Source organism: Homo sapiens, chromosome 20, assembly GCF_000001405.40.
Source record: "Homo sapiens chromosome 20, GRCh38.p14 Primary Assembly".
Taxonomy (NCBI): Eukaryota; Metazoa; Chordata; class Mammalia; order Primates; family Hominidae; genus Homo; species Homo sapiens.
Window position 1 is genome coordinate 20,576,069 of NC_000020.11, and position 16,211 is coordinate 20,592,279.

At 35.8% G+C, this 16,211-nt stretch overlaps 1 protein-coding gene across 22 annotated transcripts in view; it reads right to left on the bottom strand.

Moving 5' to 3' along the window:
* Positions 1 to 16,211, bottom strand: part of RALGAPA2 (Ral GTPase activating protein catalytic subunit alpha 2) — a 323,115-nt gene that overhangs the window by 186,539 nt on the left and 120,365 nt on the right. For all 22 annotated transcript variants that reach the window (XR_007067471.1, XR_937111.3, XR_007067470.1 and 19 more), the window contains 4 exons: positions 15,109 to 15,246; positions 13,200 to 13,297; positions 8,797 to 8,887; positions 6,982 to 7,158 (listed from right to left, as the gene is read on the bottom strand). Coding sequence is in view for 14 of the 22 variants with exons in the window: in XM_011529310.3 (XP_011527612.1) it covers positions 6,982 to 7,158; positions 8,797 to 8,887; positions 13,200 to 13,297; positions 15,109 to 15,246 (504 nt within the window). In the remaining 8 variants the exon portion in view is untranslated. The remainder of the gene's footprint in view (positions 1 to 6,981; positions 7,159 to 8,796; positions 8,888 to 13,199; positions 13,298 to 15,108; positions 15,247 to 16,211) is intronic.

The window sequence follows — 16,211 nt, forward strand, 5'->3', positions numbered from 1 at the left end:
TGGTAATTTTTTCCTGAATTAGTCTTTTTAAAATAAAATTTATTTTTTAAGAACAATTTTGGATTTATAAAAAATTGTGACAATAATATAGTTTCCATATACTCCGTATCTAATTTCTCCACTATTAACATCTTATATTCGAATGGAATATTTATTACAACAAACCAATACTAAAAGATTATTATAAAGTCTACACTTCATTGAGATTTCCTTAGTTTTTAGGTAATTCTTTTTTCTGTTCCAGGATCTCATCCAGGATATCACATAACAAATAGCTGTCATGTCTCCATAGCCTCCTTTTGACTGTGAGTTTTCTTAAAACTTTGTTTTTGATGACCTTCATGGTTTTTAAGGAGTACTGGCTTTATAGATTGTTCCTCAATTGGAATCTATTGGATATCTTTCTCATAGGCTTTTCTTTTGCATTCCTGGAATGAACTTCTCTTAGCCCTGATGTATGATATTTTTCCAACATTCTTCAATCTCATTTATTATTGCTTTATTTAGAATTTTTTGCTTATATGTTTATAAGTGAGATGGTCTCTAATTATGTTTTTTTCATACTGACCTTGTGTGGTTTGTTTCAAGGTAACATAAGGTAGATAACAGAAGTGAGTTTCTCTTTCTACGGAATGGGATGAAAAAGGTAAAGTTTCTCTTTTACATGAAGGTTTAGTAAAGCTAGAAATTATCCTTTATTTTTATAGATCTATTTGAATAGCATACTGTATTATTTTAAAAATTTATATTGGTTTCGTAGTTGTTCCCTTTTCACCTCCAACATTTTTTCTTGATCAGTCTTGCCTGTTTGTCTATTTTTATTAGTGTTTTCAAAGAACAATTTTTAGTTGTCTTCTAACTATTATTTGCTTTCTAGTACATGCATGTATGCTCTCAGCTTTATTAGTTCCTTTTTTATTAACATGTATGTTATTCTGTTATTCTTTTCCTAATTTTTGAATAGAACACATTGTGTTAATTTATTAACATAATTATTCCCAAAGTTCTCTTCTTCACCCCATACAAATAAAGCCGGACTGATTTCTAGGCAATTATCAGTCCCCACTGAGTGTCATCTCGAGTGTATATGTTGTTGGCATTTTTAAGGCCTAATCAAAGAAACTGAAGCACAATCTCTGGATCTGAGGAACTCAAGTAGAGGAATGACAAGGGCAACAAAAGGCAAGAAAAAAATGAAACTGAAAAGGAGGGCAGGTCCAAAAATGGCTGCTCACTATAATAAGCTATGCTTATTAAATTAGTGATGGAAAGATCCCAAGACACACATAAAAAAAGATGTAATAATGATGGCACATGGTGTCTTGGAAAGGCCTTCCCAAACACAGAAGCACTGTTCCTTCTTAGAGGAAAACACACCTGTAGTTCCCACAAGAGTATCATATACTCAACTCAGGAGACACATCAAAATGTGCAAATATCATCCAAACTGGAATTCCTACACACTGTGCCTGAAAGGCAGAGTGCAAAAAACCTAATTATGGGCCTTCTGGGTTCTCTGACTTTTATAAAACCTCGGAAGAAAGACTCATCATCCTAATTCTGTAAAGTAAGTACAATATCAGGCATCTGTTAGTCTGAAAAGGTATGCTGAAGCATCAATAAATGCTTATGAATCAACATGAGCCCCCAAGTGAACAAGAAGCATAATATGGCATTTATTTTTCTCATAAAGGATGTCATGGCATTTTTCAATCCCTTGAGGAGAAAAAAAAAGTAAGGGGATTAGATAATTTACAGCTTTGTTTCATCGCTGGTTAAACCTTCACTCCAAAAATGTAGCTATCCAAAACAGAGATTGGTCCCCAGCATCCCAATCACACTGGAGATTTGCTTGAGTAACCACTCCAAGTACATGTAGACAGATACCTCATCATCACCTGCACCTCTTTTCAACCTGCCAACGAATATGCCCTTACTTATGAAAGAATCCCACATAGAAAATCTGCTTCAGTACTGCTTTACACTCAGAAAAATTCATGCCTCAATGATAAAATCCTAGGCAACATCCTCCATAAAATTATCAAGGTACGCTGACTTCTTTAGGAGTTTCTGAGATGCCTGTATGAGTTTCCTCAGTATTACTATGAACAAAAATGTTAATGAGTTGAAATGTTTTGCCCAAAATTACTCTGCTGGTGGCGTAAGTGACAGAACAGATGCTGACATTTTACATGTAGAGGGTTCCTCAGTGAAGGAGCACTTAATTAAAAATGGGAATTTAAGAGACTTCAGACAATTTCACGTTCACCCTAAAAATACCCAATATTTATTTTATTTTATTTTTCATTAGCAGCCTAGTATGCTAGCCTGCTATCTTTTTGTTTTATTACTACTTAATGCTATACGGGTGTTTAAAATTTTTTTATTAAAGTGAAAACTCTTACAAGCATAATTGTATCATCTTTCTCCAAACACATAAATAATTTTTACAAAGAGATCTAAAAGTTTAGAACTTTGCAAATATAGAAAGGATTTCAGCCACAAAATAAGTCTTGGTAGTTGGCAAAATAAGCATTTAAGGCCAAATGGTGATTTAATATGGCTGCAATTTTATATAAGCTAGGCACAGTGTTAAAGAAATGTAGCCTCGGTCTCTGAAAAAAATTTTCCTTTTGATTTGAAAACTAAACATAAAAAACAAACTCAAAGGCCTGAGTGAAACAACTTAATTCTAGAGCCAGAAAATTCAGGCCTGGCCTGGATGTCAATGATCAAGTGGAGAAACAGTAAGATGGCATCCTGCTCCCACCAGTGCAGCCTGGCTCTCCTCTCCTTCTTCCACTCCTTTTCAAGGATGTCCACTGCTCACTGCAAAGATTTCAGAAGGTGAGCTACCAATGCCCCAGTAGCTATCATTATTATTTTTCTTTCTAATATTTCATGACTTCGAAACACATCAAAGTCTGGTGGAAATGCCAAAAATATAGGCGATGACAGAGAATGCTGACAAAGCATTCTTGGAAAAACAATTTTAGTGGCAGGTAACAGGAGCTGTAATTCATATTCACAGCCATAATTAAAAGCAGAAGTGGCAAAAAAATTTCTGTAACATTTGGATGCAAGACTGTGATAACCACACTAAATAAAAGAGATTTTGAAATTGTCTTATGTATTATTTCTAAAAAATTAAAATTTAATTGCTCTTTTCAGCTATATAAAACAACAGCTTGCAGCTTAAAGTGTATTTGTTCGCTGATTCAAGTATTTATTAAATGCTTCTCTCCTGTCCTGCAATATTCTCGGAAGCAAGAATCAGCTGTGCACATAGCAGACAACAGGCGTCCCCCTCCTGGAGTCTGCATTCCAGTAGAGAAAGACCTTGGAATCTCCCAACTAAACCAAGATGCTAGATAACATTTCTCACCAAACCTTACTTTAAAAGTTATCACTGAGCTAACAAGAACATGGAAAGAAAAGAGCAACAAAGCTGGCTTTTTCCCTTTGTGGTTCTGCTAAACCACAGAATTCTTAAAAGTTTCTCTGGTAATGCAGTTTTCATTTTGCTGAGGTTGAATTACTGACACTTTTTTTATGGTTAGCTATTTTTTAAAAAAAATCATAGAACCTTTTAAAAAAGACGTTTTCTTCCAAAAGTTTTTAAATTTTCCTTTTCACATTTATGTACTTTATCCCTCTGAAACTGACTTTGGACATGGCGTGAGGTAGGAATTCTATTTCATTTTTTTCCATATGGCTAAGTACTTGTCCCACAGAAATGTGTTGAACAATACATTGTTTCCTTGTCAGACCTGACAAGCCACATATATCATATATCATGATTCCATGTCTGTGTGCACTCAGTGCTATATTTTATCTTCTGTTCCATCCGTCTATTTGTCTATCTCTATGATTACAACTTTAAGTAAATGTCATAGAATTTATCACATTATTTGTGACTATTAGGATAAATGTTGTGTCTTCTGTCCTTTTTATAAGCTCTTAAAAACTATAGTGGCTTATGACTTATTCATCTTTTTATTTCTCAGAGCATCTAAATCAGTATTTCTAGACTATAAGCTTATTTGTTAAATAAGGGATGAGGTAAATGACAATACTGATTCTTAGCTGTAGACTCATAAATGTCCCCCTCCCCTGACTATTTCAACAGAACTAAATGTATGCATGTCTTAAGTATATTTTCTTATTTTCTGTCTTCTCAATGCTCTGGCATTAGGGCCTCACTGATCAGGGAAGGACTGCCACTTCCAGGGTTAGCTAATTCCTAGAGATAGAAGTCTATTCACCAGGCAGCATGTCTTTCACATGCAAACCTACCAATTCAAAATTCAGACCCTCCAACTACCTCCTTTCTCTAGTTCTCACATACTAAGTCAATATCCCCTGCCCTGTCATCCTAGGACTGGGTACCAGGAAACTAGAAACAGCCCGTATGCTCCAGAGCCCACTGAAGTCATTCATATTAGTAATCCTAAAACTGCATACCCTGCCTTGCCTTGCTATTTCCATAGAAATGACACTAAAAGCGGTTGCCCCATTTTGTTCCTTCTGCCTCCTGGTACTTCCCTGCATGACCCCTGTTTCCAGGGATCCGTGAGTATAAACTTCTTCCTCCATGACAATCATTTCCATGTCTGTATGTCTTACCACATCTGATTAAAACAAATCCCAGGTAAACTTTAAGACAATGCACAGTAAATTTAGCTGTTATTTTCAGCAAACATGATTTAATGAGAAAGCAAATATAAAAGTAAACAGTTTGCCAGTGATGAAGGAATTTAAGATTTTGGAGGCAGTTTATTATTCTAAGCATTTGATAACTGGTAGGATTATTCAATAAGAAACAAAGATATAATCAAATTGTTTCTCTTTGCATGTCCTAAAAATCAGGCTCATATGAGTTTTATTTTGAACATTTATGAAGAAATTGCTCTCTTAAGAACAGAAAGTTAAATTCAGAACTGTGATAATCCTTAAGCCTTATCACATTACAGTTTGTCCTTTTCACAGATGACAAGGTGAACTATTGAACTGCGTGTACTGATTCTCTATATTAGTATTTCAAAGAAGAACGGAGTATTTGGAGGAGTTAATCACAACATGGAGTGCATCATATAAAATTACCTCACAGAGGTTTATTAAATTGAGCTGTCCAATACATACCCTGAAATGGGATCAAAACTAATCTTTCCAAAGAACAGACAAAAGAAGTAATCACCTAATTTTCTTCCCTTTCAATAAAAATAATTAAAACTAGTCCATGTTTAAGTAAATTCAACCTACTGAAGCTTCAGTTTTGCCTCCTACAGTACCACAATGATGACTTTCTTTTGGATAATCTGTAAGGATTCTCAAGTAGGTCAAAGGGCTTTACAGTAATTTTAATTTTAACAGGAACACAGTGTAAAGGAGTAGACATAGCACTGCACGTTGAGTCAAAACATTTTGGAAGCCAGTTTCATCTCTGGAACTCACACTCCAGCTTGATAACAATTTCTCTGGGTCTCAATCTCCCCATCTCTAAAACAGACATGATAAGACTTGGCCTGCTTCCCATACAGAATCAAAGAGAATGCCTCAAAATTCTTTGTAAATGTTGAATCTCATATCAATGTATAGTATTATTAGTCAAAATCATTATTTAGTCTATAAAGAATTTTACTGAATACCACCTTCATATGTTAATTTTATGAAGTTTTAATGACATTCTATCAAGAATTTCCCAAATATCAGAGACGTTAGTTAAATTTTAAATCACAGTGAAAACCAGTTTGCTTGGTTTAAAAAAAAAAATCCATTTAAGGTCAAATTTTAGCCTTTATGTTAATCATTTTAAAATATTTTTTGGCATTTTAATAACACTCTTAACATGTTACTTTGTGGTGGTTGTTTTCATACAAGATACCTGTGTGTGAACATGAATGTGCATCCATAAAAGTCTTGGCTCTGGTCAGCCTTTCCCGCACTGATTCCTCAGACCACGAGTCTCTCCTGACACTCCACAAAACAAAGCAAAACCAAACCCAGCTCCTCCATGGCCTCCCCGTTCTCATCAGCCTGGTCAAACAGGTGAGGGAAACTGACCTTTGAGGTTGACTTACCCAGTGTCACACAGTGTGTGTGTGTGTGTGTGTGTGTGTGTGTGTGTGTCTGTGTGTGTGTAGCTAAAACTGCAGACTACACCACACACAATATTTTGGGCACCTGACTTAGATGTTCACTCATTTATTCTTCCAACAGCCTTCATAAAGTACGGGCTATTATCCCAAATTTAAAGGCAAAGAAACAAAAGGACAGAGATTAAATAACTAGCTCAAGGCCACCCAGCAATTCCTCGGAGGTGCCTGGAAGCCGACCCAGAAAGTTTGGCTCTGAAGTCAAACAATCTGAGGTTAAAAAAGTTGCAAAAAATACAGAGTATGAAGTCATTTTTTTTAAGTTTAGAAACAAAACTAAATGATATATTGCTTGACACACACGGTAAAACTATAAAGAAATCAAGGAAATTAGTATAAAAACAAATTTGGACTAGGGTCCCAAGATAATGGGAGAAGGGGAGGGACTTGAGAAGGACCTCTAGGAGACCTCACTGGCTTGGGTGCCCTGCTAGTTCTTAAGTTGGGTAGTAGACTCACTCGTGTTCACTTCATTACTGTTCCCCGTAACTTACATACTGTATATGTTACAACTTACATTTTATGTATCAAAATACTTTATTTAAAAATTAATCAATAAGCTATCTAAACTCTTTGACTTATCCTGGATTTATAACATGTATGAGTTGGAAAAATCACTCTTCTTTCTAGCATAGAACAATTCAGTCAGGGATAGTAAAGGCTTGACATGAATACCATCACTTCCTCCTATGGTGGACAGTGGTCAGGAGCATGGCACACTTCCTCCTACAACTGTTTCAGAACCCTCTGTATACAAGACTCCAATGATTCACAACTGATCTCCCAGCTGTTTGCATTAGTGCCTCTTTTTCAAAATGCAATTTACCTGTTAAATTTGAAGCATCGGTGGGACTCAGTTGTAACCAATGACGGGCATCAGCATCAGCCACAACATCTGTGGGAGTATTCAGTTCTGGGTCTTCCTCACAGGTCTGCCATGGGCCCATGGACAGCTCTGCCTCATTGGTACAGCCCAGAGTTGTGTCACTGTTGGTACTTTCACCTGGTACAATGGAAGAACCAAAGTTTAAGATAAAAAATAGCTGAAAATCAGAATGTTCACAATTACTGATACGAAAGTAACTAAACAAACAGCAGACACAGTAGGAATCATTCATGTTCTTTGGCAGAACCTGCAGAACTTGAGAGGAGCTCAAAAAGTGTCCACGTGGGGCTCTTGGTCAAGAAAATGAATCTTCCAAATAAGGATATTAATAGCCATTATGAGCACCACTATGTATCATTCAAGTGGCACTCTTCAACGTGTCTTCACTCAGTACCCCCTACACCCAAACTACACCAAGTCCTAAAGTGTGCTGGGACTTACAAAATGAGGATGGGTGGAGGAAGAAGATAATAACTGATCCACCACAAATGCAAGTTTACTCTACCGGGTAGAAGAGTCTAAAGATGCTGTATGCCCCAAGCCTGACAGGTAGACGTAGACCTAGGGTGACTCATTCAGGGTCATCTGGGGATATAGTGTCCCAATACAACAGATTTTCTAGAACAGAAATTCTCCCCTTTAAACAGTAATAAGTTCTAATTTATCATAATATAATAAGGCTAGGCCACAAAGACTTATAGAACTATTTAGTCTGACATAAAATGAACCTAGACACTTCTGCTTCTCAGAGTCTCCTGTCTACTTCATAACAACTTTATGCATCTACATCTCTGTCTGCTCACCCTTCTGGCTGCTCTCTGTATCTACTCCTAACAGTCCCTTACTCTTGCTGTTTCTAATCTGCTGTCCTCTATTTACTCACAAAGAACTAAAAGTTGTCTCAGTAACCAGGTGACCAATGGTAGGTCCCAAACTTCATCTCCTAAAGAGCTCTAAGCTAGCAGGGTGAAGGTAGAACTCCTCTGCACCCATCAAGAACTGTCCTGAACTTGAGGAGGTGTTTACTTTGCTACTCTGGCACCTGACTTCAGGAAAGCAGAGTACTAAGGCTGTATTTTACAATATATGATAATACGTCTCAGGATTCCAATCTCATTCCATTTCTAAGTATTTAACCCATTGACTTCAATGTACTTCTGATGCTTTTTGCTTCTAGCCTCTGGGAACTTTCTGGGGAAGATAATTTTTCTCTCCGGTCTATCTGCTCACTCATGCCATCAGTCTCTGATGTACCACTCACCTGGAGAAAGGTCCAGGGGTAGAAAGACAGGCCTCTCAAGGTACGGGTGAGTAGAACTGTTTTATTATATGTATGGATGAACCTTTTGTCAATCCTAGGATTCCAGGAATAAGAAGGTCCCATTTCACAACCATTTCTCTCAAATTGATAAGCTATTACTCAAGTTAGAAGGTAAAAAGTGGGAAGATGGCTTGAGCCCAGTCATTCAAAACCAGCCTGGGCAACATGGCAAAACCTCATCTCTATAAAAAATAGAAAAATCAGCCAAGCGCATTGACATGTGCCTGTAGTCCCAGCTACTCAGAAGGATTGGGTGGGAGGATCACCTGAGCCCAGGGAGGTTGAGGCTGCAGTGAGCCATGATTGTGCCAGAGCACTCCAGCCTGGGCGAAAGAGTGAGACTGAGTCTCTAATAATAATAATAATAAAATGTAAAAAGAAAATAGAACATATCAACTCTGTAGTTGGAGGAACAGACATTTCCCGGAACTTACTCTTCTGTCTTTCCCTACATTTTCCTTGTGTCTGCTGCAAATCATCTTTCAAATCCAATTCAGCAGGGCTGCTGCTTCTTCGAACTAAGATCTTCAGACAAAAAGAAATATTGCATTTACTACAGGAAAGTTTTCATTGTTATAAGACTTAAGTTTCTAGCCCAAATTTCTAAAGAAAAAGAAACAAATAATAATAATAGCTAAATAAATTGATGTTTTCCATTTGAAGGATATGTTTTCACAAATCACTATATTTAATTTTATGTTACTCAAGATCTGAAACTTTAATTTATATCCTCTACTTTGTCAACTTACATCCATCCAATTAAATTGATCTAAGAAGGAATGCTAAATTATATGGAAGGAATTTGTTTTAAAGTTCTATTTGTTCTTCTGGTCAGGCACACATATATTGTGAACACAATGCTCTAGGAGGCATAAGTTATGCACACAAATGATAAGTGTGCTGGTAGGGAAGGCGCAAACTCCACCCAGAGATCTAAAGGTCCATTCAGTGTCTTCCTAGTTAAGCATGCCACAGACTCTCCTGAGCATTGCTTAACCTTGTATTAAATTCACAGGATTAAAAAAAAATCAGGAGGAAATCTGCATCCTCTAATAAGTTATAATTTGCTTGGAGAGACAAAACATACACAAATTACACAAAATAATTATAATGTATATAAGCAAAATATGCAAATAAACTGCCTCTGAAGGGGATGCAGAATAAACTGTTGCCTTAATTGGCTCAGCTTTATAGGAGAGCTGTTCAAGACAGCAATGGACATGAAGTGGTAGAGGGAAGACAGGAGGGGATTCAAGGCAGGAAGTACTGGGTGGTAATCAGCAAGTTCTATGTACAGGAAGAGATGCTGGTTATACCAGGCCATGCAGGGCACCCAGGTGAAGAAGGACAAAAATAAGAAATGCAGACCTTCTAAAAAGACACAGCTGCCAGTGGGCCTTGAACCTTAGGTTCAAGTGGGGAACAAGATGTAGAGTTAAAAGAAAAAAAAGAATGCCCCACAAATGTTGACCATGGCAAAACTGGAAAAAAAATTAAAAGAAAGAATAATTATTAAGCTAATAAAAAGCAAGCCATGAATAAAATATTTAGAAGATTTAGAGGATTAACACTATATGAAAAAACTATTACACAGCCTTAAAGAAGAATGATACATATCTAATGTGCTAAGAGGAAATATGCACAGAATATTTCCTTAGTTAAAAAACAGAATGTAGACTCTTCTGCTTCTAACTATATGAGAGACACAATACCTCCCAGCCATAGAACCAGATCCTACATAAAACTTTAGTTGCAATTTGGGGCTCACAGGAAGTAAAAGAAACTTCCAAGAAATCTACCTTCAACCCTTAAAAGTGAGCAGAAACCAGGGCAGTGAAACGTGGCTATTGCAAGGGTAAATCCAATAGTACCACTGCCAGTGGCAAGAGGACCAAGACTCCAGGATTAAAGTAGCACTCTCCATGTGGTGCAAGAAACAAATGCAAACATACTGTTGAAATGTCATCAATTTAGAAATCCACGTTTTCTGCAGATTAAGATCAGCCAGCTAGGAACCCATAATAAAACATCACCAAACACTAAAGAAAATAAATCACCATGTGTAAGAATCTCAGAAACAACAAATATCAGATTTAGATCCCCCAAGGATTTCAGATAATCAGATAAAAAATTCAGAATTGCAATTTGTAAACATTTTAAAGGAATAAAAGTTGGAATCACAAAAACAAGCAAGCAACAAAAGATTATTAGAAATTACAAGATATGCTTGAAAAGTATAAACGTGAACTGTCAGAAATAAAAGGCATAATTGCTAAACTAAAAAATTCAATGGAAATATTAACAGTAAAGATAAAGTTACTGAACTGATGAAAGACAGAGCTGATAAAATTATCCAGGAAACACCAAGCCAATGAGAATAGAAAATATAAAAAACATTTAAGAGACAAGGAAGACAGAATGGGAAAGTCTAATATATTTCCACCCAGAATTCCAGGAGGAAAGCAAAGAGAGAATATAAAAGAGGCAATATTTGTGTTCTTTTTTTTAAAACCCCAGTGTCCCATGTAACAGGTGGAGATACCACTGTACCAATGAGGAAAAAATGAGACAATATATGCAGAAATGTTACCAAGAATTTTCCAGAAATGACAGAAGACAAGCACTTACAGATGCATGGCACATAGCATATACCAAAAAGAACAAACATACGAACCAAAAGATTCCTGCACCTAAATATACTATAGTGAAATGGAAGGAAAAGGACAAACAAAAACAGCAAGGAACAATAACCAGACAGGACCGGATGGACAGAAGACTTCTCAGCAACAAAGAAAGACAAAAGATTATGGAAAAATAACTTCCATTAGAAGGAAAAGGGAGAAAGAGGTGGGAAAACTATAGTAACTGAGATGTTGTACTGTCCGAAAGATAAAGTAACCAAGAATCAAGATAAGAAACACCAAAAGGAGGCCTTACATATCTCAGAAATAGCACATATGAAAGAGAGGTGGCATTTCAGATCAATAAAGAAAAATTAATTCAATAAATGGGACCTGACACAAGTAGTTATCTATTCAGGAAAAAAAATGAAATTGGATCCCTACCTCACTCCATAAACAGGAATCAATTCCAAATATATAAAAGACTTAAATTTGTAGAGCAAACCTGAAACATTTATAAATATAATATTTTTATTCCTGTGTAGTTGAGACTTTTAAAAAATTCCATAAAGCCTCAACAATAAAAATGATAATAGAGAATATCAAAATGAAGAACTTCTGTTCATCAAAAGATACCCTAGAGAAGGTAAAAATATAAACCATATATTGGAAGAAGATATTTGCTACAAACATAACCAAAATAGGATCAGTATTCATACCATACAAAGAGCTAGTAAATATAAATAAAGAGAAAAAGACAAAAAATAGAAAAACAACAAAGGACATCAGTAGGCATTTCACAGATGAAACAAAAATGGCCAATAAACATATGGGAAGATTTTTAACCTTATTAGTAGTCTAAGAAATACAAAATAAGACATCTTATTTTCACTCAGTTGACCAATAAAAATGAAAAAATCTGATAATAGAAAGTGTTGGCAAGAATGAAGATGAATGGGAGCTCTACACAATGCTGGCAAAAATATGAGTGATGCAACCACTTTAGAGAACAGGGGTTATCTTGTAAAGAAATTATTTTATTCTATAAGTCATTAATTCCATTCCTAGATAGCCATCATAGAGAAAACATTAAACATGCAGATGCTGAAACACATACAAGAATGTACATGGCTACAGTTTTCACAAAAACAAAAAGCTGGAAACAATCTAAATGTCAACCAACAAGAGAATGAAAAAATAAATTGTGGTCTACTTATAGTGGAATACCACATCACAGAAAACTTGATGAACTATTGCTACATAGCACAATGTGAATAAATCTTAAAAATATGTAACTGAGTAAACAAAGCAACAATACTTTATTAAAAAATTCAAAAGTAAGGACAACTAAAGAACATCCTGTTTAGAGATACATAGTTACATAGCAAAACTACAGAGCAAAGCAAGGGGATGATGAACACAAAGCCAAGATAAGGCCCCTCTCTGAGGGGAGATAGCAGAGAGAGGGAACAAGGAAGGAGTGTAGAAGCCAAAATGATCTGAAGCTGATGGTGGGTTTCTGGGTATTTATTTCATTGCTGAAAACAGAATATACAAATGTAAACTGGTACATGCCCTTTTTAAAAATAAAGAAAAAAGAAACATAACATGGGTTATTGTCCAGTGGGAGGGGAGCAAGGAGAGGCCTTCCCTTTTTTATTTTGTATCTTTCTGTGATGTTTGAGTTTTCTAAGAATATATGCTACATTTTAAAAAAATGAATAGGGGTTATCTGCATGAATGAGTTATGGGCTTATGTTTTAATTTTCTTCTTTATACTTTATATATATTTAAATAAATGCCATTTTATGTTTTTTGTTTTTTGTTTTTTTTAAGAAACCTAACATCTTTGTGAATACTCACTGATTCTAGTAATTCATGTCAGGTAGAGGCTACCTAAATGGATGTCAGGAATGGGGAATCTGAAACGTAGGTTTAACAGGCAAAGGTAACTGCTTAAAAATACACAGTGCCATACACAGACCAGGTGGTGAACTCCATTTTCATGTTAATTTTTTTCCTATTTTTGTAATGTGACTGTAATTTTACATAGAAAGCAAGCAAAATCTTAAAAGATCTCAACATCATTTGGGCCTATAAACTGTCTAAATGGAAAAAAATATTTTAATTATCACTGCCACCAATAAATTTACTTACTGAGCACTAATTAATGTTTATTTTTAATGACAAACTGAAATGGCTTGAAAATATCTTACTGTTATTCCTTCATGTTCTCTCTTCACATGTCCTTTATTCTCTTGAATAGGCTGAGGCTCTGAAGAACTCGAATTCTGTGTGTTTTCTGCCTTTTGACCTAGAAATGGTGGGGCAGGGGGGTAGCGGAAATAGAAGGAATGTTTCAGATAGTAAAACCGGAAAATGATTTTATATATAGGTAACTATTAAATTTAAATATTCTAAGGTATGTAAAAACAGGAGTTATGGGCCTGGCAAAACAGCAGCCTATGGGTCAAGTCCACACTTTAGACCTGGTCTCTGGCCCACAGAGAGCTCTGAAGAGAGTGGATTGATTACTGTTCACTGTGGCCAACAGGTTCACTTAGCGCATTTATGTTCGCACAGGGGAGGGCAACAAAACCCTTCCTGGGGTCTTGGGGAAGGTATCTCAGAGAAAAAGTGCCTGTGTTGGCCAGATGAACCAACAGGAAGAAGAGAGCAGTAAGGTGCCTCAGTATTGCTTGAGAATAAAGATTGACGAAAGCACAAATAACCAGTTTCAGTAATAAAAAAGGGAATATCACCACAAAGCCTGAAAACACTAAAGCTGATCATAAGAGGATTTTATGAATAATCTGGGGGCAATAAATTTGAAAAAAAAAAAAAATTTTTTTCTACAAAAACATAATTTATCAAAGTCAGAACAAGAAATGGAAAATCTAAATAGTCCTATAACTATTTTATTTTAACTTTTTTAATTTTTTAACTTGACATATAAAAATTATATTAATATAATATGTATAATATATTGTTTTGAAATATGTGTATACACTGTGCAACGGCTAAATTAAGCTAATTAACATGTATCACATACTTTTTTGTGGTGAGAACACTTAAAATCTACTCTCTTAGCAATTTTCAAGAATACAATACACTGTTACAAATTACAGTCACCATACTGTACAACACATTTCTTGAACTTATTCCTCCTCCATAAGTGAAATTATGTTAAAATATAAATGATATTTTAAAACATTCCTACAAGAAAAATGCAGGCAACTGGTAGTTTCTACCAAATATGTATAAAAAAAAAGCCTTATACAAAACCTTTCAAAAATCTTTCAGATAATACATTTTCTGAAGCTTTTACTGTATTTTCTTATTTCCAGAGGATTTCTAAGACAGAATAATTCCCTACTCATCTGATGAGACTAGCATGACTTTGACATTAAAAGATATGAGATAACTTGTTGATAAATAGAGTTGATTTCTTAACTAATTCATGACACCAAAACAGAATAACTATTTCCAATGATACTAGACACACTTTAAGCACACTCTTTCATTGAGAAATCTATTCTTCACTGTTTACAGGTCAAACCATCTGTCTCCCTGCTTTCCACACCCTGTTGCTGCTGCAAGTTGTTGGTGAAACCGTGTAGATTAATGCTATTAAAAGTTATTATTTTCCATCTCAGCAGAGTCGGCAAGCTGTTAATAAACTTTTTCACAAGTCTGGTCAGCTTTCCATTCTCATTTTCAACTTTAACGGCTCTTCTCACAGCCCTTTCCCTATGTCCCTGCCCCCATCCTGCCTCCCTGCCTTCCATAATACCTAACTTGATGCCCTACTTGACTTCATGTTGTAACAGCCTCCGTCTTCCTTCTACTCCAGCCACTTGGACTCCTGTCTCGTCCTCAAACATGCCAACCTTTAAAAAAGTGGGTATATATCTACATATAGATATATAAAAATAATTTAGATAAACAGGTTTAAATAGTGCAAATATTTCATTGCCATAAATCACATCCTTCTAATCAAATTAAAAAGGTAATTCCCTTGAAATAAATATATTCAGAATATATGTACAAAGCAATACTATATGCAGCTTTTATTCCTCTGCCAGAATCTATAGTTCTGTATTAAACACTGAAGACATCATGTACCCTGAGAAGAATCTGAGCACAGCGGCTCGGGGATGTCGGAGGTGCTGCTGCTCCGAAGGACCTGCTGCTGCTGTCCCACTGTGAGATGGCCAGATCCGGCTGCAGGTGCATTTTCTGACTGTTGACACTCCTCCACTTCTGTGAGCATTAACAAAACATGCAAAGTTACAGTTCAAGTTTTTAAAAAACACATTCACCACTTAAAACAACCGATTTAAAAAATAAAGTTTCAAATGCTTTTCACAAATAATTTATAGTCAGATAATCTGCATTTAAATGATCAAGTTTCCTACACTTGCTAACCCCTAATATTCTACTCCAAGAGTACCTTTTCCACTTAAGTTCTATAAAGCCTTTTATTTTTCAATCAAAGTAAAGGAAAAAAAGCCACAATAAAAGGTTAAGAACTGTAAAAGTCATTTGACATTTCAGGGCCAGGCATGCCAAGGAAAGAGAGATTCAGGAGATGCACAGAATGGGTAATGTACATTTGAGAAGAACAGAAAACCACACACACACACACACACACACATACACCCTGAAGGAAGATGAAAGGAAATGTGGGAATTTCTACTGCATTATGCCTTTTTAACAGGTAAGTGCCCAACTGTCCAAAATAAAATGCTATAGTTATGTAATGGCTTATTTCATCAAATGCAATGCTGAATTATTCTCTAAAGTACAGAATGATCCACAGGTATTTGTAGAAAACCAATATATATGAGACATAAAATAGAAAACCATAGCTGGGTAGGGACCACAGGATAATCTCAGTATTATTACAAGCTATATTCCCCTATAGAATGAGTTCCCCCCAGCTCATTTCTAAACTGCACAGTACACTTTAATCTCTAAAGACCACCCAAGGCACTGGAATTATCACCCCACCCTCTCTTTCTAGAGTCACAGCTTCAGGGTTGCACCACCTTTTACGTAGGTTGTTTTAATAGCCTGCAAACTAATCACTAATCACTGTCCCTCTCTTCTTACCACCTTCATATTTATCCTCTCCATGGTCCATCTAAAATAAAGATCTGGCTGTGCCACTCCTCTTAAAACCCACCAAAGCCCTCTCTTGTTAGAGATTCGTCAAACATCCTAGT